We start from the raw sequence: 22285 nt of genomic DNA, 5'->3' as shown, positions 1-22285 counted from the left end.
TTGGCTGAGATGATCTCAAGGGCCCTGCACCCACCCACCTCTCCCTCTGCTCTTTCTTTATGTTTTTTTTTTTTTTTTTTTTTATGTTTTGAGACAGAGTTTCGCTCTTATTGCCCAGGCTGTAGTGCAATGGTGCAATCTCAGCTCACTGCAACCTCCACCTCCCAGGTACAAGCAATTCTCCTATCTCAGCCTCCCAAGTAGCTCGGATTACAGGCATGCGCCACCACGTCCAGCTAATTTTTTTGTATTTAGTAGAGATGGAGTTTCACCATGTTAGTCAGGCTGGTCGAGAACTCCTGACCTCAGGTGATCCACCCGCCTCAGCCTCCCAAAGTGCTGGATTACAGGTGTGTGCCACCGCTCCCGGCCCTGCTCTCTCTTTCTCCTCCCACTTTGCAGGCTGCTTTCACTGCCTTCTCTCTATCTGTCTGTCTATCTATCAATCATCTATCTATCTTTATTTATTTAATTTTTTGTAGAGTCTTGGTATGTTGCACAGACTGGTCTTGAACTCCTGGGTTCAAGCAGTCTTCCTGGCTTGGCCTCCCAAAGTGCTGGGATTACAGATGTGAGCCACCACATCTGGCCTTACTACCTTGTACCCTCTCTGGACATTCCAGGGATACTGCCCAGTCAGCCCATTCTAATCCCAGTTGTTAGCAAACAACCAGACTTTATTACCCTCAAAAGAAGAACTGAATTTCTACAACAGACAACACCCCATACAAGTCTTGGTTTCAAGACACTGCTTTTTTCTTTTTCCTTTTGAGACAGAGAGGGTCTCACTCTGTCACCCAGGCTGGAGTGCAGTGGTACAATCATGGCTCACTGAAGCCTTGATCTGCTAGGCTCAAGGAATCCTCCCACCTCACCCTCCTGAGTAGCTACGGGTACAGTCACGCACCATGGGCTTCAAGACTCTGTTTTTAAGAATTATAATTCTTAAAAGTCCACATGTATGCTGAATGTGGTAGGCCCCTCTGGGATGAACACCTACTTCAAGTTACAGGGAATTTCTTAACTTTTCTCTCCATTGTTGACCCTTTTATATACTCTCTCTGGCATATCTCAAACCAGGGAGGAAGAGTAGTACATTGTGATATTGATGATTCATGCAGGAAGTCCCTCCCTACCAGGGCCGAAGTTAAATGGCTCTGCCCTCCTCAGCACCCCTGGAAGTCAGGGAAACTTCAATTGGGACTGATCCTCAAACCATGCCATAGACTAAAGATGAACCAGTATTTCTGTATGTCCTTGTTTCAGAAAAGGGAATGGCTGCTGTTAGCCAAGGGGGAACCACCGGGCCCAGGACACAGCCAGAGAATTCCTGCCAGCACCTTCTATGTGATCATGCCGTCACACTCCCTCACACTGCTGGTAAAGGCGGTGGCCACGCGGGAACTGATGCTGCCCAGCACCTTCCCCCTGCTACCTGAGGACCCACATGATGATAGCCTTAAGAATGTGGAGGCAAGTGGAGCCCAGATCTCATGGGACAGATCTAGAAGCGAATGGAGTTTGAGAAAGGGATGAGGGAGAGGAGTGAGCCCATGAGGGAATGGATGCGGAGCTGAAGGAGTGTGGTAAGAGAGTAAGAAGAGAAAGCAAGGATAGGCAATTATGCCAGAAGAAGGAAGTAAACACTTAGATTATGGCAGCAGGGTAAGGAGTGAAATAGAATGGAGGGAAATGAGGTTTGAGAACAAAAAACTGGGAGAGAAAAGGGATATTGGCATCAGTGATGACTGGGAATTAGAGCCATCCTGGAGGACACACGACATGCACACGGACCTGAAATCTGAGGAATGGGTGGCTGTGAAGGAGAAAAGGGAGCATCACAGAGTGGAAACCTGATGTCAGGCCAGGGCACAGGGAGGCAGGGGAGGAAGCCACAACACCAGCAGGTCCAGCTCCTGGGGATGCACTGGACGCTTGTTTGGTTTGGTTTTGTCTTTGCGCAGACTGGTTCTCCTGCCCCCACCTCCTCCCCAGAGAGGAGATTGTGAAGTTAGACAAGGGAGAGCAGAACTTTGGGAGGGAAAGGAAAGAAGACACAGTGGAAAGCAGAAGAAAAAAGAAGGGAGAAGGGAATAAAAGGAGACCCAAAAAATCAGCCTTTGTATGGGTTTTCGTGTCTTTGTGTGTTTTTGTGCCCGAGTGTGTCTGTGGTTGGGTCTCTAAATTGGTGGCAGTGGGTGTAGATGCGCCTGTGCACATCTGTGTGCTGGTGTGTTCTTAGGGGTCTGTCTGCATTGCACGTGTGCATATGTGTATACCTGTGTTTGCGCTCATTTATGTTTGTTGAGAAAAGGCAGCCAATGTAGGTGCCCAAAATAGGAAGGGCTTCAAGATGAGATGTGATAGATGCAGATGCAGAGGAGCAAACAACTCTGAAAGCCATTTTTACCTCCTTCTTTTTCTTCTTCTCCTCCTCCTCCTCCTCCTCCTCCTCCTTCTCCTCCTCCTCCTTCTCCTCCTCCTCCTCCTTCTCCTCCTCCTCCTTCTCCTCCTCCTCCTTCTCCTCCTCCTCCTTCTCCTCCTCCTTCTCCTCCTCCTCCTTCTCCTCCTCCTCCTTCTCCTCCTCCTCCTTCTCCTTCTCCTCCTCCTCCTCCTCCTCCTCCTCCCCTCCTCCTCCACCTGTTTCTCCTCCTTCTCCTTTTCCTCTTCCTGGGATCTGGATTCTCTATATTTGCTCTGCTAGTCTCCCCAGGCTAAGAGTGGGAGGGCTGGCTCTGGGTAGGGAGAACTGGAACCACGTCGCTGCTGGCTCGCTAGCTTAAATGCAGCAAGGACAAGGCCTGGGATTGTGCTCTTGGCTTGGCGGCCACAGAGACACAGAGAGAGGTGGGCACAAGTGGCCATGGCCTGCTCAGTGTCTCACTTTGGGGCCAGTGGTTCCTGGCACAGGATGTTGTGGCCGGAAAACCTGACTGCACAGGAATGTTGTGCTCCTGTATCCCCTCCTCCCTTTCCATTCAGCTCAGCTCACCTCTAGGCTGAGAACTCCATGTACTCGCCTTGCAGGCTGTGAGCACCCTGCCCTGCAGGGTAGCCCACTGACACACCCTCCCTCCATGCTCACAGTGGATCCCTTGTAGCATTCATGTGCGCCGGCCCCCTCAGAACCCCTGGACATGCATCTTGGGGCCAGAGTGTTCAGTGTTCCTAACCACTTAGGGTTGTTCCTACTTCTCCTATCCATGCCTGGCCCTTACATCACAAGCACTGGACCTCAGGCCAGAACACCCAGGGGGACAGCATCTATTTCACAGCCTTCATGGCAGCCCTGGGGTTTCACACTTCCTCCAGCCCCTCACACTCCTGGATCGCTACCTGACATCTTGTGTTCTGTGATCTTAAGTTCCCTAGTGAGGCCCCTCCTCTCTTTTCCTCAGAGCATGCTGGACAGCCTGGAGCTGGAGCCCACCTACAACCCCTTGCATGTTCAAAGCCACCTGTACTCACACCTGAGCAGCATCTATGCCAAGCCTCAGGGGCGGCTCCACCCACACTGGGAGAGCCGAGCTCCGAGAAAGGTACCGCTCCCCTCCTTCCCTCCTCTTCCTTACTTCCCCTCCCTCCCCTTCATGCCCAGAGTCCTAGAAAACCCTCCTCCCCCATCCCAACACCGCCCCCATCCAAGGGAGTAGCCTTCCTCCAGGATCCACCCCTGGTGGAGGGGAAAATTAGAACCCTTACTGGGTAGGGAGGCCTGTTTGCTAGGGCATTTACATATAATAATGTTCAGGTGTTTTAATTGTAGTGTTTATGATAGCTCATTAAACAGACCATTGTCCCATTAAGCAAACTGGCTACACAGGAACTATAACCACAGTCCTCGTGAAAGAAAAGGCTGAAGGAAAGGTGGGAAAAGAAATGCCCAAGGGATGGGAAATTAATATTTATAGAGCACCAGTCATTTGCCAGGTTTTATGATAAGTGCTTGCTTATATGTTTTTCTCATTTAATCCTCACAGCATCCCTGCAAGGTAAGTGTTTGCTCATTTACAGATGAGGAAAGGAGGCTGACCAAGATTAGTAACTTGAGAGGACTCCCATGACTATCTGGGGTTGAAGACAGTTGGGGTTGAAGAGGGAAGAGTGATTGAGGATAGAGAAATATTTTTATGAAACCCGTGTTCTATATAATATTTGGGCTTCCTTTTGCCCTTATTAACTTTTTCTCAGTTTCTTAGTAACACAGCCTTTAGAAAAATTCTCATTTTAGGCCGGGCACGGTGGCTTATGCCTATAATTCCGGCACTTTGGAAGGCCGAGGCAGGTGGATCGCTTGAGCTCAGGAGTTTGAGACCAGCCTGGGCAACATGGCAAAACCTCGTCTCTACAAAAATACAAAAAAAATTAGCCAGGAGTGGTAGTGCACACTGTAGTCCCAGCTACTTGGGAGGCTAAGGTCGGGGGATTGCTTGAGCCCAGGAGGTCAAGGCTGCAGTGAGCCAAGATTGTGCCACTGCACTCCAGCTTGGGTAACAGAGCAAGATCCTGTCAAAAAAAAAAAAAATTCATTTTGTCTTAGCTAAAATTACAGAAGGACGTTTCCAAACCAGAGGTAGGAGCAGAGGCTACCACAAGTTAGCTGCTAGGCAAGCTGCCAGAGGTAGGACACCAGGCAAGGAGACAGGCACTGTGGAGGCTGGGCTTAAGGGACTCCAGATCACTGTCCTCGGCCTTGAGGCTGTCACTCCAGGGAATGAACTTAGGAAAGAGTTAGGACAGGAAGCCCAACAGAGAATGGGATAGGTGCTCAGAAACTCTGATCTTCAGAGAAGGCTCTGGTTGCTCTCTTTGCAGACTGGGCAGTTGCAGACCAACCGAGCTCGAGCTACTGTGGCCCCCCTGCCTATGACTCCTGTCCCAGGCAGAGCCTCCAAGATGCCAGCAGCCAGCAAATCTTCCTCAGATGCCTTCTTCCTGCCTTCAGAGTGGGAGAAGGATCCCTCAAGGCCCTAAGTCACCAGCACCAGAGCCCAGCTGCCCAGCTTAACCATATCCATGCTCAGGTTCACATAATGGCTATCTGTGGTCAGACTTGCTCTCTATCCGCCTGAGCCTCTGTGAGTGAGGGCTGACTGGGAAACAACAGCCTTCCTGTCCTGTTTCAGTGCTGTCCCACTCCTCAAGTCTGGAAGCGACACACCCGAGCCTGTCCTTTCTCCAGCAAGGACTTTCATTTTCTTTAGAATCATTTGCTACTGTTTACACAGGTGAAGATTAAACACCCAGTAAGCTTCTACCATTGTTAGGAGCATTCATAACTCAGAATTTCTTCTTGTAGCTCTGTGTAAGCAGGTGGATGAGGTCAGATCACCTTTGGTAAACTGGACCTCAGGAACAAGGATGAGGTTTTGAAAGCTCATAAAAGACAAGTAAGATTGAAATCCAAGCCTCATTTCAGAGCCTGTGCCCTTCCCACTACACCACCAGGCTTCAGCCTCCAAAGAGACAAGTGCTTGGTACCTACATGCAAAGTGTGTGTGCTGGGGGGTGGGAGGGCTGCCCAGAACAGGGGAGAGGATGGTGTAAAAAAAGACCTACTCCTTTCCTGTTACCCTCTCCCCACATGTACCAACCTTCCTGTTGCTCCCTCCATCCACAGAATAATAGCTACCATTTATAAAATGTTTACTCTGGGCTGGGAGCAGTGGCTCACACCTGTAATCCCAACACTTTGAGAGGCTGAGGTGGGATGATCACTTGAGGCCAGGAGTTCGAGACCAGCCTGAGCAACACTGTGAGACCCCCCCGCCATCTCTACATAAATAATAAAAACTTTTAAAAAAACACCCTGTGCTTCAGATTACACTAAATACTTATAATGTATCTAATTTCATACAAAAAGCCCTGTGAGGTAGAGCCCATTATAGCTTTTCCATTTTACAGAGGGGCACAGGGGAAACTGAGGGTTGCAGATGTTATCACCCAGGGCCACAGAGCTCACATCTAGCCCAGGGCAGCTTGACTTGACTCCCCAGGCACTGAACCGCCACACTTCTGTTCCCTTCCTGGGCCCCTTGCCTCTCCGTGACTCTCAACACATTCCTGGTTCTCCTCTTGATCCCCACCACACCCAACCCAACCACTGTGTCCCCTCTTTTTCTCTTCACACACATAAACTTCTTAAACCCAAGCTGACTTTAATGAGAATTTTAAAATTTTTAAATAGGTCTCTGGCAAAGAACAATGCAGGAGTAAGGATCCAGGCACAGTCCAACATCTCCCTGAGGCCTCCACACAGGCCCCTCAAACTGCACCCATTCTGACCATGCACCACTTTCCACAGACCTGGTCCCACAGCCGTCCCTTCATTTGGGGAAGTAGGGAAGGGATGGCTTTGGGGGATGCAGAGCCCATCCTCAGCCCTGCCATCTGCCCCACTTCTTAGGACTTCCTGGGATTGTCCTTCCCTTGACTCTCCCATCCCTCTGGTCCCCTGGTCTCACACAGCATGGCCCCTCCCACCCTCTGGCTTCTGCTGGTTCTAACCATCTTCTTTGATCCCTAGTGCCACCTCCCCATGGTCCCCCTTAGCCACCTCAGCCTTGCCGTCCTTCTCAGGTAGAGCCCTCTGACTTGACCCCAGTCTTGTCAGTCCCTACTCTAGAGAGCCCACAGTCCCAGCTCCCTGAGGCCCCGCTCTTCTGGACCTGGCTGTACAGGGCTGAGTTGTGGCTTTTGATGCCACTGCCAGTTGCAGTACCAGGTTCAGGGAAGGCTGGGCCCTGGGGCTTGGGAGCAAGGAGGGGCTTTGTGCTCCGAGGGGGTGGCACAGCGTAGTCATCAGTGGCAGGGTTGTAGGGGAGCTCATAGCCCTCCTCCTTCACCCGAGCTTGGCACCACCATGCATCCTTGGGCTCCCGAGGCAGATCATAAAGGCCCTGGGGAGGGACTGGGGCCAGGCCCTCAGGTTCATCATAGATGGGATCCTCTTTGGGGTCTGTCAGCTTGGCCTTCAGCAACTGCTGCTGCGCATGCTCATACAAGTCCCAATAGAGAGGTTTCTTCCGTTGTACTCCCTCTCCTGCCTGAGCAGACGTGCTGTCCAAGGGGTCTGAGTATAGGGAGTCCTGGGAAGGGCATGGAGCAATGCGCAGGGAGTCTAAGGGCTCAGCATACAGGGCTGGGGGACTGTCGAGGAGCTCTTGGGGGCCAGGTGGGGAAGGCAACTTCCCCTCTGCCACCTCCCCTTCATGGGAGTCAGCTCTGAGAACATCGTGCCCCTGTCCGGCCTTTCCCTGGGCCTTCTGCCGGTGGATGGCAGTCTCAACTGCCTGGAAGATGTCATTTCCCTGTGCCGTCTGGAAGGTGAAGGTTCCAGGGCCTGAGGGGCAGCGGCGGCCGGCCTCGAAAGAGAACATGACCTAAGGAGGGTAGAGGGGGAAACACATTACCAGGAGCCATCAGAGGAAGTGAGTCACACGCCTGCACTAGTTAGGGTATCTACAAAGAAGAGACCACCTGCGAACAGACGCGGGGTCACCGGGTAGGCAAGAAAGGGGGATCCAAAGGTCAGAGCTTCCCACTTTCTGTCCTGCCCCACCCCTCCCACAGCTGCCCAACCCAGGAAGCCCTCCCGGACAGCCCCTGCACCTTGTCCCGGCCATAGCGACGCAACAGAGTGTAGGGCCAGGACAGGAGTGGCTCCAGTATCTGACTCTGGGCCCCCACGGTCAGGAGAGTCAGCCTTTCAGCCTCCACCCTCAGCACGTAGGAGCCATGCAGGCCACAGCGCTCGGCGGCCTCAGTCCTCTGCACCGTTACCCAGAATTGGGATCCTGGAAGGCATACACGATTAGACAGCTGCGGGGGAGGGACGGGGGCAGCAGTGGGGACCCAGAGGACTCATGAGCATAGTGTCCAAGCACTCACTCGGAAGCCAGATCTCAGGGCCTTCCTACTTCTTACTTCCCCATGGGCCCCTGGGTATCCACCCACTTCCCAAAGGCCCTCGGCCCTCCTCCTCTTCACTCCATCCCTGCCCGGGCTTCTGAGGCGTCTACCTTCCCAGGTAGGGCTGTACAAGGAGTTCTCCAGCATCTCCAGGGCAGAAAGCTTAGGTGGGTTATCGGTAGGCGCCAGAGTCCAGCTGCCTTTCTGTAGTAGAGAGCATCGAGAAACCCGTAATTTCCTCAGCGGGGAGCGGGGGTCGGTCTGAGGCAGCCCCATTTCTCTGCCTCTGTAACTGCCCCCACCCCGCATCGCCGCAGCTCCTCACCGGAAAGGCGTTTCGGCACAGCGTCTGCACCCAGGCTGCACTGGACGGCGCGTCGGCCGCCAGCAGGTGCGAGCGCTGAGCAGTGTCCAGGCGGAAGGCAGTGGCGCCGGGCTCAGGGGGGGTCTCCACGGTGACGGGGGCCACACTCACACACTCAGCCAGACGGATCACTTTGCAGTCCAGGCGGCGCGAGCTCCCTCGGCCACCCCCAGAGCTCGACCCCTTATGGTCAAAGAACTCGAGCCGCGCTACGCCGTGGGGACTGGCCGGGTAGAGCACGGCCCAGGTCTTCCTCCACCTCTAGGGAGAGAGAGAGAGTGCTCGAGAGGGAGTGGCGTGCGCAGGCGGCCCGGGTCCCGACGGGGAAGGAGGTTGCGGCGCAAGTCGATTTGGGATCTGGGGCTTCCAAACGGGGTTGGGGGCGAAGTTTCCCAAGGACGATGCCACTCCGTCTCCCCAGGACCAGAACCCCTAGACTACAGACGCTTCCCGGGAGTGTGCAAAGCAACTTCACGGGAAAGTCACAGGCTCTCCAACTCCCGGCGCCGCTCTCCAGCCCGCTGCCCACCTCTCCCTGTTTCTGGGCTCTCTCACCCACTACTAGCCCGGATAAGGTTCGGCATCCATGCGCCAGACTACCTTGGTCCCAAAGCGCTGACTCTGCAAAAAAAGCGGCCCTTCCATCACTGCTCCGTCCATGGCCCCCGGCGGTTCCTTCCGCGCTTCCTGGCCCTGCGGCGGGAGGCGGGGCGGGAGGCGGGGCCGGGTTCCCTGGAGGAGTTTCCGCCCCTCCCCGGCCCCCGCCGGCAGCCGCTGGGGGGGTCGCGGTGGGGTGAGGGAGAGGAGCGAGAAGGAATGGTGGAGACCCCCGGATTAGCCGGGAGCTGCAGCACCCCAGGCCCCTACCCGCCGTCGTGGGGGCGCGCCAGTGGCTCCACCGAAAGTCCTCGGTTTTGGCGCGAGGGCCCTGGCCTCTGGGCGTGGTGGCTGCGCGTGACGTCATATGCCCAAGGTGACGTCAGAGTGAAAGCCATGACATCACCCCGAAAGCGCCCCGGGCACCGGAGAGACCCACACGGGCCTCCGGGGCTTTATTTACCCTGGCCGGGCCCGCCCCCAGCCCCGCCCGAGCCGGGCTGTTTAGACTCCGCTGGCCCGGGACTCGGAGGGAGGGCTGGGGTTGAACCGCTTCCCGCCACCACCGGGGCCGCCCCGCCGCCCGGCCGCCGCTTGCATGTCAGCTCCCTGACCGCAGAGGCCTGGCCTCCATGCCGCGGGAAGAGAAAGCTTCATTGAACGAGCCGGGAGGGCCAGGGAGGGGGAGGGGGCGCGGCAGTGGCCAGCTCCACGGGGAGGGAGGACCCAGAGGAGGAGAGGAGGGAACTGGCCGGGAGGAATGGAAGGAGAAGGCGGAATGTGGGAGGGCTCAGGGGGATGTGGGAGGGACGAACGGAGAAGGGGGAGAGAGGGGGGTCCAGTCTCCCCTGGCCGAGCATTTTTTTTTTTTTTTGGAAGTCCTAGGACTGATCTCCAGGACCAGCACTCTTCTCCCAGCCCTTAGGGTCCTGCTCGGCCAAGGTAGGGGGAGTCACGCTAACCGCAGAGGGAATGAGTAGGGGATGGAGAGGATGTGGAGGGACCAGGGAAAACGGGTGGTGTGGGATGGAGTCGAGGGGAAGCCACCCAACTGAGAGTTTGATTCTTGTCAAAGGGCAAGTGAGACAGAGTACACGGAGGAGGCACATACCGGAGGCGGGGGCTACGGGTGTTCGAACAGGGCCGCCAGGAGCGCCCTAAGGGAGGGGGCTCCTCCGGGAGGCGCTGCCCCTGGGTCCCCAACCCAGAACAAAGCTGCCTTGTTGGATTGATTGTTTGGGTTGGGGGAAGCATGTTGACGGGGGCTTGCTGTAGAGGGGCTGTTCTCAGCCCTAGGCAGAGAAGGCCTTGGCTGAGGAGCCATAGCGCCTGGCCTCCCGTTGCCCGGTGACAGGGATGGTGGTGTTGGCAGGAGGCTGGGACAACCCTACCCCATCCCCCGCCCAGCCTTGAGGCCTGGCCCTCCTGGGCCTCTTGACCCTGCAGGGCATCTGAGAGCCTGCGTGTTGGGGAGGGCGTGCAGCAGGTTCTCCAGGCGAGCTTTGGTGCCAGCCTTCCCTGCCTGGGAATCTGCTGGGTTAGGACTCTGGGCTCCCATTCAGGGGATCTGTGATCCCAGGGCCGCCTAGGGCCCCTTACGTGCCTCTCTGCACAATCAGTACAGCTGTCTGTCCTCCCTCTGAGTAAATGGGGTCATCTGGATCCCTCCCACGTCCGCCCCTTGGCTCTTGTCAATCCCTCTCCTTCTCACCCGCGGTGTGCTTGGTTCCCCTATACTGAGTGCTTAGTTCTTTGCCTATCACTTTCTATCCGTTGTCTCTCTCCTCTGTGTCTTTCTGGTTTTCTCTCTCTCATTCCCACAGTCTCCCTTCCTCTCACATCCTGTCTGTCTGGGTCTTCCTCTCTCTCTACGTGTCTCTTGCTCAGTCTCTATCTCTTTTTATTGACCCTTCTCTGACTCTCGATCTCTCATAGTTGTCTCTTATCTCTGGGTCTCTCAGGCTGTGCCTCTATGACCTGTGCCTCAGCCCTTATTTAATGTGTTTCTCTCCCTGTCTCTTGGTCCCTGGGGCTCTTTCTCTCCTGTTGTCTCTCGCTGTCTCTGTCTTACTCAGTGTCTGTTTTTCTTTCGTGACTTCTCCCTCTCTTTCTGACTCTGGGCCCCACTCAATCTGTTTCTCTCACGCACACTTTGTCTCTGGGGCACCCAGGCCTTCCCTGCCATGCGACCTGTCAGTGTCTGGCAGTGGAGCCCCTGGGGGCTGCTGCTGTGCCTGCTGTGCAGTTCGTGCTTGGGGTCTCCGTCCCCTTCCACGGGCCCTGAGAAGAAGGCCGGGAGCCAGGGGCTTCGGTTCCGGCTGGCTGGCTTCCCCAGGAAGCCCTACGAGGGCCGCGTGGAGATACAGCGAGCTGGTGAATGGGGCACCATCTGCGATGATGACTTCACGCTGCAGGCTGCCCACATCCTCTGCCGGGAGCTGGGCTTCACAGAGGCCACAGGCTGGACCCACAGTGCCAAATATGGCCCTGGAACAGGTGAGCAATGATCCAGGCATATCCTAGATATTTCCTATGTGTGGCCAAAGTGCAGGGAAAGGGAACACGAGGATGGCACAGCCATAGGGACACACGACACCAAGAACAGCCAGCATTGAGTAAATCCATGGATGACAAACCAAGCAACATAGTTACTTCCCAGAGCTGTGTGACCTTAGGCTAGTCAGTGCTTTCTCTGAGCCTCAGATGCCCTGTATGCAAAATGACTAGATGATGTCTAAGTTCTTTTCTGCTGCAAAAGTATGATCCTACAAAGCCATCCACAAAACAGCCCAGATACAGGTGAGCCCTGTACAAATAAAGTACAGTTAGTCTCATGGGACGCTAAGAGCAGGTAAATGATATCTGGATGTCCCAAAGTCACAAGGGGTCACAGACACTGCAGCTAACAAAATCAGGTTATGGGCCAGAGCTAAAACTAACAAGGTGGTACTGTCTAAGGACAAGTATAAAATCTAGGACAAGTATGAGTGTGGGTGGTGGAGGCTTAAGAGCAGTTCCCTAGGTGAGGCCTAGGACTGTGCCCATGGTATGAACCCACAGTGGGAATGATGGACAGAAGCAGGTGCAACCTGCAGCTGATTCCCCAGTTCCCACTGGCTAGACCACCTGTGGAATTAAGTGTCATTTGTAGATGCTGTGTTTTAAGAGGGACAGTAGAAAATGGAAATACTTTCAGAGGAGAGCTGCCTAGATGTGAAAGATTCAGAAGCCAAGTTTCAAGGAGGAATTGCTGAAGAATCAGGGGATTGATATGGAAAGTAAAAACCTTGCATAGCAATGGCGTAATGGTTGTTTTTAAATATGGGAAGGACAGTCGTGTGGCTGAAGGATTTTTCTGGTTGGCACCAAAGGAATGAATCAGATGTGGTAGGGGAAAGTCATGAAGAGTCACAAGGACTTTGATGGTTACACAGTCTGGTGGGGCAGGAGCTAGGTGTCTCCGCAACAACTGGGTAAGTCCTGTTGGGATGTGAATGAGATGTCCTTGAACATTGGCTAGGACAGATGACCTTTGAGGCTGCGCCCAATTCTGAGAGGAAGCCAGTGATACTCCACAGGGTTCAGGCCGGGCTCAGTGGCTCACGCCTATAATCCCAGCACTTTGGGAGGCTGAGGTGGGTGGATCACCTGAGGTCAGGAGTTCGAGACCAGCCTGGCCAACATGGTTGAAACCCTGTCTCTACTACAAATACAAAAATTAGCCAGGTATGGTGGCACATGCTTGTAGCCCCAGCTACTTGGGAGGCTAAGGCAGGAGAATTGCTTGAACCTGGGAGACAGAGGTTGCAGTGAGCTGAGATCATGCCACTGCATTTCAGCCTAGGCAACAGGGCAAGACTTCGTTTCAAAAAAAAAAAAAAAACAGGTTTCAGACAGAGAGAAGAACAAGGGGCTATATGGCAGCACAGACAGGGCGGGCACAAGAGAGAATGCAAGGATGTGAAGAAAGGATCTTAGACATCCAAGCCTCACAGATAGATCAAACTCCTAAGCCCCCACGTATTGGCTTTATGGTCTTAAGCAAGTTGCTCAGCTTCTCTAAACCCCAGTTTCTTTATATAAAACAGTGTTCTGGCAGCTCTGTTCTAAGAATGATCACATATGTGCACACCATGGCAGAGCACCTGGCACACAGTAGGTACCTGATTAATTGTAGCTATCAATGAATGGGTAGAGACTGATCAGAACTTCAGGGTTGATTCTTGGTTTTTTATTCACCGTATCAGGTTCTTGAGTATCCCCAGATCACACCAATTTTCCCTCAATCTTATGCCCCCTTCCTATTCCCTGCCAGGGTCCCCTGTCCCGTCTCCACCCCTTATCATACCAGAAAGATGGGATCATCATGGCCAAGTGGGAGGCCTCAGCACTCACTCTTCCCTACATCCCCATTACTCCCCCATCCTCCCTCCCCAAGCTTCTCTGTCCCTTCATCTCCCCTTCCACAGGCCGCATCTGGCTGGACAACTTGAGCTGCAGTGGGACCGAGCAGAGTGTGACTGAATGTGCCTCCCGGGGCTGGGGGAACAGTGACTGTACGCACGATGAGGATGCTGGGGTCATCTGCAAAGACCAGCGCCTCCCTGGCTTCTCGGACTCCAATGTCATTGAGGTCTGCATTTCCTAGACATACACACACACACTACCCAGGATAGCCGAGAGTACTGTGGGGTGGTTAGCGGAGACATTAGAAGGTAGTTACCCCTGGGGGATCATTTGGATTGGTGGGAGACTTGGAAAAGCAAATGATAGAGCTCCCAGATGCTGTAAAATCCAACAGGTTTTTAGCATTCACATTCAAGGGGCTAAACCTGGCATGAGCCTCTCCAGCTTCATCCCTAGTCACCCCTGGGGCACCTGGTGCTCTCCTTCTCCTCAAATGTTCCTGCTTTCCTGAGACATCTTCCTTCTGACTTTCTCCTCCTTCAAAGCCATTTCCTTTTTGAAGTGCTCCCTCCTGCTCCAGGCACAGGGAGGGCCTCCTTCCTAGTGCCCTGAATCCTCTCTGGGAGCACAGCACATCCCACGCGCTGCTGGCTGCAAGAGAGTCCACACCGCGGACTGCGGCCATCGTGGCCGCTCTCTCAGCGCCGCCTCGGGCCCATCCCGCCACTGGGTTTACAGCAGGCACACCAAGCAGGGTTCCTTAAGGGCGGCGGGACACATGAAAGGTGCCACTGGGATTCTTTCCCTGCTTGTGGCCCCGCCCCCAGGTAGAGCATCACCTGCAAGTGGAGGAGGTGCGAATTCGACCCGCCGTTGGGTGGGGCAGACGACCCCTGCCCGTGACGGAGGGGCTGGTGGAAGTCAGGCTTCCTGACGGCTGGTCGCAAGTGTGCGACAAAGGCTGGAGCGCCCACAACAGCCACGTGGTCTGCGGGATGCTGGGCTTCCCCAGCGAAAAGAGGGTCAACGCGGCCTTCTACAGGTGAGGGGCCGCGGGCGCCGGGCGGAGCAGGCCGGGATTGGGGTGCTCCCTGATGAATAGCCTTGGGAGACATCTGAGCAGGTCCGGGGCACGGGAGGACCCGGGGGTCGGGACGCGCGGGAAAATATGGAGGCCGTTGCAAAGCTGGAGAGTTGGGAAATCTTGTGGGACCACGAAAGGTGCCCCAAGGGAGTACCTGAAATGGGGACCAGCGAGGCTCCCGCTCTCTCGTGGCCGACGCCTGGGCGGGCAGGCGGATTCCTCGGCCCCGGGGCGCGCGCCGGCCTCGCGAGGCCACTCCCAGGCGCGGGGGCGATTCCAGCGCTGGCGCTGCCGGCCAGCGATTTCCGAGTTCAGTAAGGACGCGGCCGCCCCTGGGAGGCGGCGCCTGGGTGTGTCCCGCGCAGGCTGGGCGCCCAGGGTCCGGGGGCCCGGGGACGGCGGCGCGCGATGGCCGAAGGGCGCCAGGAGAGACCGCGCCAGTCTCTCTGCCCGGGCCGCCCCGGGGCGGGGCGCGTATGTGAACGCTCGAGCCCTCGGGGCTCCTGGAAGTCCTGGAAGTTTCCCAGGATCTCTTTTGGCGAGGCCCAACCTCTCCACCTGCGCTGGAGCCCTGGGGTCCAGTCCGGCTTCCAGGGAAACGCATCACCCTGGAAACTGCCTGTGCTTAACGTCTCCCTTCCCTGGAACATCTACTTTGATCTTTTTGAGAAACTGCCATTGACAGCCAGGCATTTATTTGGAAATCTTTACACCCTCTCACTGTAATCTATTTTGCGAGCCAAAAATCCTCCCTTTCTTCAGTGGTTCCCTAGATCAGTATTGCTGAAAGGCCTCTTGATGTCCGGATAGGTTTCCGCGGGCACACTACTTCAGATGGGGTCTGATGCCGCCAGCTACTGTAGAAATCCTCAACCCCGACTGAAGCGTGCTCGGATTACACTGTCTTCCTACTGCGGCAGCTTCCCACTGCTTATACTGAACTTGTCATCACTTAAAACCAGTTCAGGTCTTCCCTATGCTTCCTACTGATAGAGCAGCCTTTTCCAACCCAGGTATAGGTGACGTTTACCTATTACATTTGTTTTGATACATAATTTAGAAGCCATAAAAAAGCCATGATGATCCCATGAGATTATCTTGAGTCCTGATGTGACTTTCCATCTGTCATTTCCCCTCAGCCTCCTCTGCTGAACAGACATGGCAGCTTTGCCTTCTGGCTTCATCCAAATGGCTAAAAGTTGTTGTGGAAATGTTTAAAACCAAAGTCTAACTCTTCTTGCAAAATGTTCCTGTAGATTTTCATCAAGCTTCTAATCATCAGCTGTAAAATATGTTCCTTCCACCAACTGGGAAGAAACAGAACACTTCAATGATGTAACCAACATTTCACCTTATCTATCTATATATTTCTTATCTGTAATGAAATCATGGGAGATTCTGTTAGTTTTTGATAAAATCCAGATATGCTATGTTCACAGCCATTCTCCAGCCTTCCAATTTAGTAATCCTGTCAAAAAAGAAAATCATAGTAGTTTGAGTCTATTTTTACTGAAATCCTTTTAGGTCTCTAAGAATCACCTTATTTTTTCCTAAATGCTTACAAACTTCTATTTAATAATTTATTCTAGAATATTACTTATGTGTAGATTGAGGAATTGAGGAATCCTTTTTCTCCTTTTTTTTTTTTCTTTTGAAAGTCAGGATATTATCCAGTCTCCAGTCTTTTCTATACCTGCTCACACTTTCTTTGCCTTGGCTCTGAGGCTCATCTGAAATGTCTTTCAGTACTGAGGACTTTCGGTACTTTATCTGGCCTGGACACTCAAACCACTTTAAAACAAACGTGCTGTGCCTCTTTACTTTCATCCATCTTGGGGCTGCATTTCCTTCTCTGTGCTGCTTACCTTCCCTAATTTAAACCCCATGTTCTGAAAGATGCGTAGAATTTAGACATTTCCAGTGAAGAAGATAGCGTGAACAAAGGTGTAGAGATCCACTCACCCAATATTTATTTACTGAGATCTTACTATGTGCCAGGTACTGTTGTAGACACTACCCGTGGCTCATGCCTATAATCCCAGGACTTTGGGAGGCCACGGTGGAAGCATTATTTGAGCCCAAGAATTCGAGACCAGCCTGGGCAACATAATGAGACCCTGTCTCTACAGATAATTTTTTAAAAATAAAATTAGCTGAACATGGTGGTGCGTGCCTGTAGTCCCAGCTACTTGGGAGGCTGAGGTGGGAAGATTGCTTGAGCCCAGGAAGTCAAGGCTGCAGTGAGCTGTGATCATGCCACTACACTGCCTGGGTGGCAGAGCAAGACCCTGTCTCAAAAAATAAATTAACTAAGGCCGGGCACGGTGGCTCACACCTGTAATCCCAGCACTTTGGGAGGTCGAGGCGCGGATCACCTGAGGTCAGGAGTTCGAGACCAGCCTGACCAACATGGAGAAACCCCATCTCTACTAAAAATACAAAACTAGCCGGGTGTGGTGGCGCATGACTGTAATCCCAGCTACTCGGGAGGCTGAGGCGGGAGAATGGCTTGAACCCGGGAGGCGGAGGTTGCGGTGAGCTGAGATCGCGCCATTGCACTCCAGCCTGGGCAACAAGAGCGAAACTCCGTCTCAAATAAAAATAAAATAAAAATAAATTAAGTAAGTAAGTAAATAAATAAGTGGTGAAGGAAGGCCTCTTGGAGAAGGCATCATTTGAGAAAAGATTTAAAGGAGGTGAGGGCACAAGCTATGCAGACCTCTAGATAAACATTTCTAGGAAGAGGGATCAAAAATGAAAATATTCTGGGGTGTGTGTGTGCCTGTGTGTGTATGTAGTGGGTGATGGGATAAGGCCTCTCCTTCTCCTGGAGGCCACTGTGGCTGGAGCTGAGTGAAAAAGAAGAAAATGGTAGGAGATGCAGTGTAGGTGGTCTTCGGAAAAGAATGGGAAGCCAGATCCTGCGGGCCATCTGGGAGAGGATGGCTTTTGTTCTGTGGGAGATAAGGAACCACTGGAGGGCTTGGAGCAGAGGTGTGACATCGGGCTTCCATTTTTTTTTCAGTACTACTTTCACTGCTTTATTAGGAATAGATTGTAAGGGATGCAGTAGAAGCAAGAAGTCAGGTGGCTGGTTATGGGGTTATTGTCTTCTGAAAGCCACGTAAAGAAAGTGAAAGGTGATGGTGACCAGTGAAAGTGGTGAAAAATGATCAAGATTTACAGACAGTTGAAGGCAGAGCTATAGGACTTGCTGATGGATTCAGTGTGATGTGAGAGAGAGGAGTTAAGGCTCTCTCCAGGTTTTTGGCCTCAGCTAAGTAAGAAATTGGCCTCACCTGACAAGGAAAACAGTGAATGGAGCATGTTTTGTTGGGAGATGGGCTTGGGGGTGGAGGGTAGGAACTTGGTTTTAGACCTGTTAAATTTAAGATTCTTTAAGACATTGAAGTGGCGAGGCTAAGTTAGGTAATTTAATATAGGACTCTGGAGTTCAGTTGAGTAAAACATATAAAGTCCTGAAACTGGACAACATACCAAGGAAGTGAATGTAAATTTAAAAGACAGAGAGAGGCCCAGAGACTGAACCTTGGGGAGACTAAATATTTAAAAGTCAGAAGATAAGATGAATGCAAACAGTGAGGTGAGGTAGGAAGAAAACCAGGGGAGTGTGGTGGCCTGGGAGCCAAGTAAAGTGCTTCGAAGAGGAGAGAGTGACCAGCTAAGTCAGTGCTGCCCAGACCTAAAAACATGAGGACTGAGAAACAAATGCTGGATTTAGCAACAGTAAAGTCACTGTTGGCCCCAACAGAGATGATAATGAATGGTTTATATTTGGAAGACAGTAAGTTAGCAAGAGTAGGTTTATACTGAGAAATAGTGGAAGATCTGGATAAAGGGAGGCCAGAAAATGGAATGCTTTAGGTGCCAAATTGGAGAGTTTGGCCTTTGCCTTATAGAAAAATTACAAATAAAGGTATTTATATGGGACAAGAATAAAGCCAGTGTTTTTGAAAGTTTGCCTGATAGTAGTGGATGAGGAGAGGAGGGTCTTGATGCAGTAAGACCAGTCAGGAGTTTGTTCTAAAATTGAAGCTTATCAGGAGGGTAAAAACAAAGATGGAGGAAAATGAATAGATGTAGGATGACTGATAGAACATAGAGAATGAGAGAACAGACACCTAAAATGATTCCGATGCTGCCTGAGAGAAGGATGGTACCAGCAGCCATCTCTGGGCTTCAGGTTAATATGAACTAGCTTTAGAGATGGGCTGTCCTTGGAAAGTTTGAGACACAGGAATTGTCCCCAGGTATGCAAAGCTGAAATAAGTTTTAGGGATCAGGAATATTTGTTGGACATATCGGAATCTCATACTAAGTCTGGGATATAAAGGCTGGAGAAAGAGATACACTAAAGCACAGAGGCCATTCTTCGTGGGGAAAGAGATTGCGGGAGCCCTGGGAGATTCTGTGATGGGGCTATGATCTAGATCCTTCACAGGTCAGGCCCAGCAGAGGGAGCATTCTCACAGGTGATACAATTATTACAATTATGAAAGATAGGCAAGACAGTTGTAAACAACTCTCCCCTCCTTAGGGAAAAAAAATGGATCTGCTGGCTTTTAGAGGAAGTCAGTAAGATTTAGGGAATGAGAAAATCAAAACCTGATGTATTAATCATTTTTCAATTTGTTTTGGTAGTTCTACCCTAGAACATGTAAAAGTTGTAGAACTTTAGAATAAGAAAAGAATGTACAGATAATTGAACTATTTACTACTCTTTTACAGGTAATGAAATTGAGGCTCTAAGAGCTTCAGTGCTATTTAAGAAGTCACTCTTCTAGTTCATTTCAGCTTGACAGATGTTTATTGAACTCCTATTTGCCAAGTACTGTGCAAGGTGCTGAGAATACAAAGGTGAATAAATGACAAGAGAGGTTATTAGGCTGCAGATCATAGAAGACCTTATAGGCCATCATAAGGATTCAGGTCCTTATGATAAAAGGATTGGGAAGCCTTTGATGTTTGGATTGTTTGTTTGTTTGTTTTGTTTGTTTGTTTTTTTGAGAGGGAGTCTGGCTTGTTGCCCAGGCTGGAGTGCAGTGGCACAATCTCTGCTCACTGCAACCTCCACCTCCCTGGGTTCAAGTGATTCTTCTGCTTCAGCCTCCTGAGTGGCTAGGTCTACAGGTGCCCACCACGCCCAGCTAATTTTTGTATTTTTAGTAGAGACGAGGTTTCACCATGCTCGCCAGGCTGGTCTTGAACTCCTGACCTCAGGTGATCCGCCTACCTCGGCCTCCCAAAGTGCTGGGCTTACAGGCTTGAGCCACCGTGCCCGGCCATTGAAGTGTTTTAATGGGGAGGGCTATGAGATGGCATGATCAGGTTTGTGACTCCAAAAGATCATTTGAATCTATTTCTTTTTTTTCTTTTCTTTTCTTTTTTTTTTTTTTTTTTTTTTTGAGACAGAGCCTTGCTTTGTCACCCAGGCTGGAGTGTACTGGTGCAATCTTGGTTCACTGCAACCTCCGCCTCCTGGGTTCAAGCAATTCTCCTACCTCAGCCTCTCGAGTAGCTGGGATTACGGGCACGCGCCACCATGCCCAGCTAATTTGCTGATTTTTGGGTATTTTTAGTAAAGATGGGGTTTCTCCATGTTGCCCAGGCTGGTCTTGATCTCCTGACCTCAGGATCAGATCAAGTGATCTGCCTGTCCTGGCCTCCCAAAGTGCTGGGATTACAGCTATGAGCCACCACGCCCCGCCTTTGACTCTATTTCTGAGAATAATCAGGAGAGGAGCAAAAGATATGGATTGGAGAGATATTTAGAAGTAAAATTGACAGGACTTGGTTATTGATTGACTTTGGGATCCAAGAAAGGGAGAAGTCAGGATTGACCCCTAGGTTTCTGGAGTGGATTTTACTGAGATAATTATCTTTTTTTTTTGGACCTACATTACATTTCAGATTACTTTCAGATCTCTACCTAGAAACATCAAGAAGGCAATGAAATAGACAAGATTATGAATACACTAGGTGTGAATTAGACCATATAGAGGGCCCTATATGAAGTGAGAACAAAATGCCTAAGAAAGAGCTCCACAAATTTTAATGACCAGATAGGGGAGGAGCCTGCAGAGAAGACCAAGAAAGAGCAACCAGAATTAGGAGTAGGCGGCTCTAGGCACACTGCCTAGGAGTCAGCCCTGCTCCCTGGGGAGCCACTCTGGAAATTAATAATAATAATAAGCAGAATTAGGAATAAAACCAGGATATTGTAGTGTTATAGCAGCCAAGGAAAGAGAGGACAGTCAGATGTTGCAGAGAGGTCATTAAGATGAAGACTGAAAAATGTCTGCTGGATTTAACAAAATAGAAGTTTGCAGAGTGATAGGTAGGGAAAACCAGAGGAAGTGGGTTGAAAAATGAGTAAGAGGAGGCTGGGCATGGTGGCTCACACCTGTAATCCCAGCACTTTGGGAGGCCAAGGCAGGTGAATCACCTGAGATCAGGAGTTTGAGACCAGCCTGGCCAACATGATGAAACTCCGTCTCTACTAAAAATACAAAAATTAGCTGGCTGTGGTGGTGCGTGCCTGTAATCCCAGCTACCTGGGAGGCTGAGGCAGGAGAATTGCTGAGCCCAGGAGGCGGAGGTTGCAGTGAGCCAAGATTGCACCACTGCACTCCAGCCTGAGTGACAGATCGAGACTCTGTCTCAAAAAAAAAAAAAAAAAGTAGGAAGAGAGGATATAAAGATGATAAGTATGGACAGCTCTTGAGAAATGTTACTGTGAAGGGGAGGAGAGATAAGTAGAGGGTGTGTGTGTGTGTGTGTGTGTGCATGTGTAGGAGTGATTTGAATGTTTAAAAGGATTCAGTTGAGAAAAAGAAATGGTATGCAGGACTGAGAAAAATTGTAAGAGATGGAATTTAGAAACATTTAGGTACAGTAGACTTAGAGAAGAAAAATAGTTGAAAGGTATGAGAAGAGGATATGCAAATGTAGACAGGTTTTTGTTTTGGGTTTTTTCTTTGTTTGTTTGTTTGTTTGTTTGATTCCTTGTTTTTGAGACAGGGTCTCTCTATGTTGACCAGGCCAGAGTGCAGTGGCGCCATCATGGCTCACTGCAACCTCGACCTCTTGGGCTCAAGCGATCATCCCATCTCAGCCTCCTGAGTAGCTGGAACTACAGGCTCGAGCCACCACACCCGGCTAATTTTTAAATTTTTTGTAGAGACGAGGTCTCACTGTGTTGCCCAGGCTGGTCTCAAACTTCTGGGCTCAAGCAGTCCTCCTGCCTCAGCCTCCCAAAGTGCTGGGATTACAGGCGTAAGCCGCTGCCCCTGGCCTACATAGGTTTTTATGTTTGATGGCTGAAGGAAGGAACAAATGGTAGGTGGAAACAAACACATCTGTGAATGAAGAAATTTAAATCAAGACAAATAACAGCACTGGTCCTCAATGAGGACAAAGTCCTTAACATAACTTATATATAATTTTATATATAAAATATTTATAAGATAAAAGGGTCTAAACTCTTTTATATAAATATGAAATAAGATTACATATGTTTGTGTATATATATATATAAATAATACAAAGACCTGTTGATATAAGGTCCTTAAATAATTTAGAGAAGAGGTACTTCTAAATTTCTAGATAATACCAAAATGTTTTAGTACTACTCTGGAGATCAAGGTGAACTCTCCAGGTTGATTGGTGAAGAGGCCAAGTGTATTTCATTTTAGACATTTTAGACATGTTTGAGAAAAAGACATTTGGAGAAAAAATTTCACACCATATTTATAAGATGAAAGAGTCTAACTATTAGCAATGTCTCAGTAAAGGGACCTGAGAGTTGTATATTCTTTGCCAGGAATGTCCAACACTTTGGACACTTTGGCAAAGAGACCAACTAAGTACATCCTCAGGAAGAAGCTGAGGCAGAAAATATC

General features: G+C 51.0%; 3 protein-coding genes across 26 annotated transcripts in view, besides 9 other annotated features; 2 read left to right on the top strand and 1 right to left on the bottom strand.

Annotated features, from left to right (window-relative positions):
* The window catches only part of M1AP (meiosis 1 associated protein), a 90448-nt gene extending 84641 nt beyond the window's left edge, over positions 1 to 5807 (top strand). For 7 of the 13 annotated variants that reach the window (XM_047443431.1, XM_047443430.1, NM_001321739.2 and 4 more), the window contains 4 exons: positions 1267 to 1473; positions 3399 to 3539; positions 3981 to 3992; positions 4816 to 5807. In XM_047443431.1, coding sequence (XP_047299387.1) covers positions 1267 to 1473; positions 3399 to 3539; positions 3981 to 3992; positions 4816 to 4974 — 519 coding nt within the window. In that variant the 3' untranslated portion in view covers positions 4975 to 5807. Of the gene's footprint in view, positions 1 to 1266; positions 2117 to 3398; positions 3540 to 3980; positions 3993 to 4815 lie in introns of those variants that run through there. The other 6 variants (XM_047443432.1, NM_001281296.2, XM_005264152.4 and 3 more) reach the window with 4 other exon arrangements.
* Positions 6139 to 14585, bottom strand: DOK1 (docking protein 1). 6 transcript variants are annotated; one of them, NM_001197260.2, is made up of 5 exons: positions 14518 to 14585; positions 8237 to 8536; positions 8022 to 8115; positions 7612 to 7796; positions 6139 to 7382 (listed from the first exon to the last, which is right to left on the bottom strand). In NM_001197260.2, exons 3-5 carry the CDS (start codon positions 8056 to 8058, stop codon positions 6576 to 6578), a joined length of 1029 nt encoding a protein of 342 aa, NP_001184189.1. In that variant the 5' UTR covers positions 8059 to 8115; positions 8237 to 8536; positions 14518 to 14585; the 3' UTR covers positions 6139 to 6575. The 6 variants fall into 6 exon arrangements, with proteins under 6 accessions (NP_001184189.1, NP_001305796.1, NP_001372.1 ...); NM_001318867.2 differs by lacking the exon at positions 14518 to 14585 and adding an exon at positions 8831 to 8970 and having other exon boundaries at positions 8237 to 8534; NM_001381.5 differs by lacking the exon at positions 14518 to 14585 and adding an exon at positions 8876 to 8970.
* The window catches only part of LOXL3 (lysyl oxidase like 3), a 23445-nt gene continuing 9147 nt past the window's right edge, over positions 7988 to 22285 (top strand). Inside the window, exons 1-6 of one of the 7 annotated variants that reach the window (XM_024453177.2) lie at positions 7988 to 8029; positions 8697 to 8850; positions 9752 to 9814; positions 11044 to 11368; positions 13342 to 13505; positions 14107 to 14321. In XM_024453177.2, coding sequence (XP_024308945.1) covers positions 11056 to 11368; positions 13342 to 13505; positions 14107 to 14321 — 692 coding nt within the window. In that variant the 5' untranslated portion in view covers positions 7988 to 8029; positions 8697 to 8850; positions 9752 to 9814; positions 11044 to 11055. Of the gene's footprint in view, positions 8030 to 8696; positions 8851 to 9747; positions 11369 to 13341; positions 13506 to 14106; positions 14322 to 22285 lie in introns of those variants that run through there. The other 6 variants (XM_024453176.2, XM_011533134.3, XM_024453178.2 and 3 more) reach the window with 6 other exon arrangements.
* Positions 8353 to 8870: an enhancer, noted in NCBI's record as "H3K27ac-H3K4me1 hESC enhancer chr2:74781947-74782464 (GRCh37/hg19 assembly coordinates)". NCBI's record gives its function as "activates a minimal SCP1, AML or CMV promoter by ChIP-STARR-seq in primed H9 embryonic stem cells {active_cell/tissue: H9 hESC(primed)}" and the evidence as "EXISTENCE:reporter gene assay evidence [ECO:0000049][PMID:30033119]".
* Positions 8669 to 8728: an enhancer, noted in NCBI's record as "active region_16077". NCBI's record gives its function as "activates an Ori minimal core promoter by ATAC-STARR-seq in GM12878 lymphoblastoid cells {active_cell/tissue: GM12878}" and the evidence as "EXISTENCE:reporter gene assay evidence [ECO:0000049][PMID:35858748]".
* Positions 8879 to 9628: a silencer, noted in NCBI's record as "silent region_11670". NCBI's record gives its function as "represses an Ori minimal core promoter by ATAC-STARR-seq in GM12878 lymphoblastoid cells {active_cell/tissue: GM12878}" and the evidence as "EXISTENCE:reporter gene assay evidence [ECO:0000049][PMID:35858748]".
* Positions 10354 to 10648: a silencer, noted in NCBI's record as "tiled region #4995; K562 Repressive DNase matched - State 8:EnhW". NCBI's record gives its function as "represses a minimal TATA promoter and a strong SV40 promoter by Sharpr-MPRA in K562 cells {active_cell/tissue: K562}" and the evidence as "EXISTENCE:reporter gene assay evidence [ECO:0000049][PMID:27701403]".
* Positions 10354 to 10648: an enhancer, noted in NCBI's record as "tiled region #4995; HepG2 Activating non-DNase unmatched - State 4:PromP". NCBI's record gives its function as "activates a minimal TATA promoter and a strong SV40 promoter by Sharpr-MPRA in HepG2 cells {active_cell/tissue: HepG2}" and the evidence as "EXISTENCE:reporter gene assay evidence [ECO:0000049][PMID:27701403]".
* Positions 10354 to 10928: a biological region, named in NCBI's record as "Sharpr-MPRA regulatory regions 4995 and 13004".
* Positions 10634 to 10928: a silencer, noted in NCBI's record as "tiled region #13004; HepG2 Repressive non-DNase unmatched - State 4:PromP, and K562 Repressive DNase matched - State 8:EnhW". NCBI's record gives its function as "represses a minimal TATA promoter and a strong SV40 promoter by Sharpr-MPRA in HepG2 and K562 cells {active_cell/tissue: HepG2 | K562}" and the evidence as "EXISTENCE:reporter gene assay evidence [ECO:0000049][PMID:27701403]".
* Positions 14594 to 14913: a silencer, noted in NCBI's record as "silent region_11669". NCBI's record gives its function as "represses an Ori minimal core promoter by ATAC-STARR-seq in GM12878 lymphoblastoid cells {active_cell/tissue: GM12878}" and the evidence as "EXISTENCE:reporter gene assay evidence [ECO:0000049][PMID:35858748]".
* Positions 17475 to 17644: an enhancer, noted in NCBI's record as "active region_16076". NCBI's record gives its function as "activates an Ori minimal core promoter by ATAC-STARR-seq in GM12878 lymphoblastoid cells {active_cell/tissue: GM12878}" and the evidence as "EXISTENCE:reporter gene assay evidence [ECO:0000049][PMID:35858748]".

This window comes from Homo sapiens, chromosome 2, assembly GCF_000001405.40.
Source record: "Homo sapiens chromosome 2, GRCh38.p14 Primary Assembly".
In the NCBI taxonomy this organism is placed as follows: domain Eukaryota; kingdom Metazoa; phylum Chordata; class Mammalia; order Primates; family Hominidae; genus Homo; species Homo sapiens.
Note: the sequence above shows the minus strand (reverse complement) of the source record. Positions and strands in the feature narration are given on the sequence as shown.

Excerpts from the sequence above, each read along its gene's own strand:
- DOK1 (NM_001381.5), bottom strand. The coding sequence starts at position 8,935 with ATGGACGGAGCAGTGATGGAAGGGCCGCTTTTTTTGCAGAGTCAGCGC. Across the intron at positions 8,537-8,875 it reads GTCAGCGCTTTGGGACCAAG|AGGTGGAGGAAGACCTGGGC; the intron begins GTAGTCTGGCGC and ends CTCTCTCCCTAG. Across the intron at positions 7,383-7,611 it reads GTCGCTATGGCCGGGACAAG|GTCATGTTCTCTTTCGAGGC; the intron begins GTGCAGGGGCTG and ends TACCCTCCTTAG.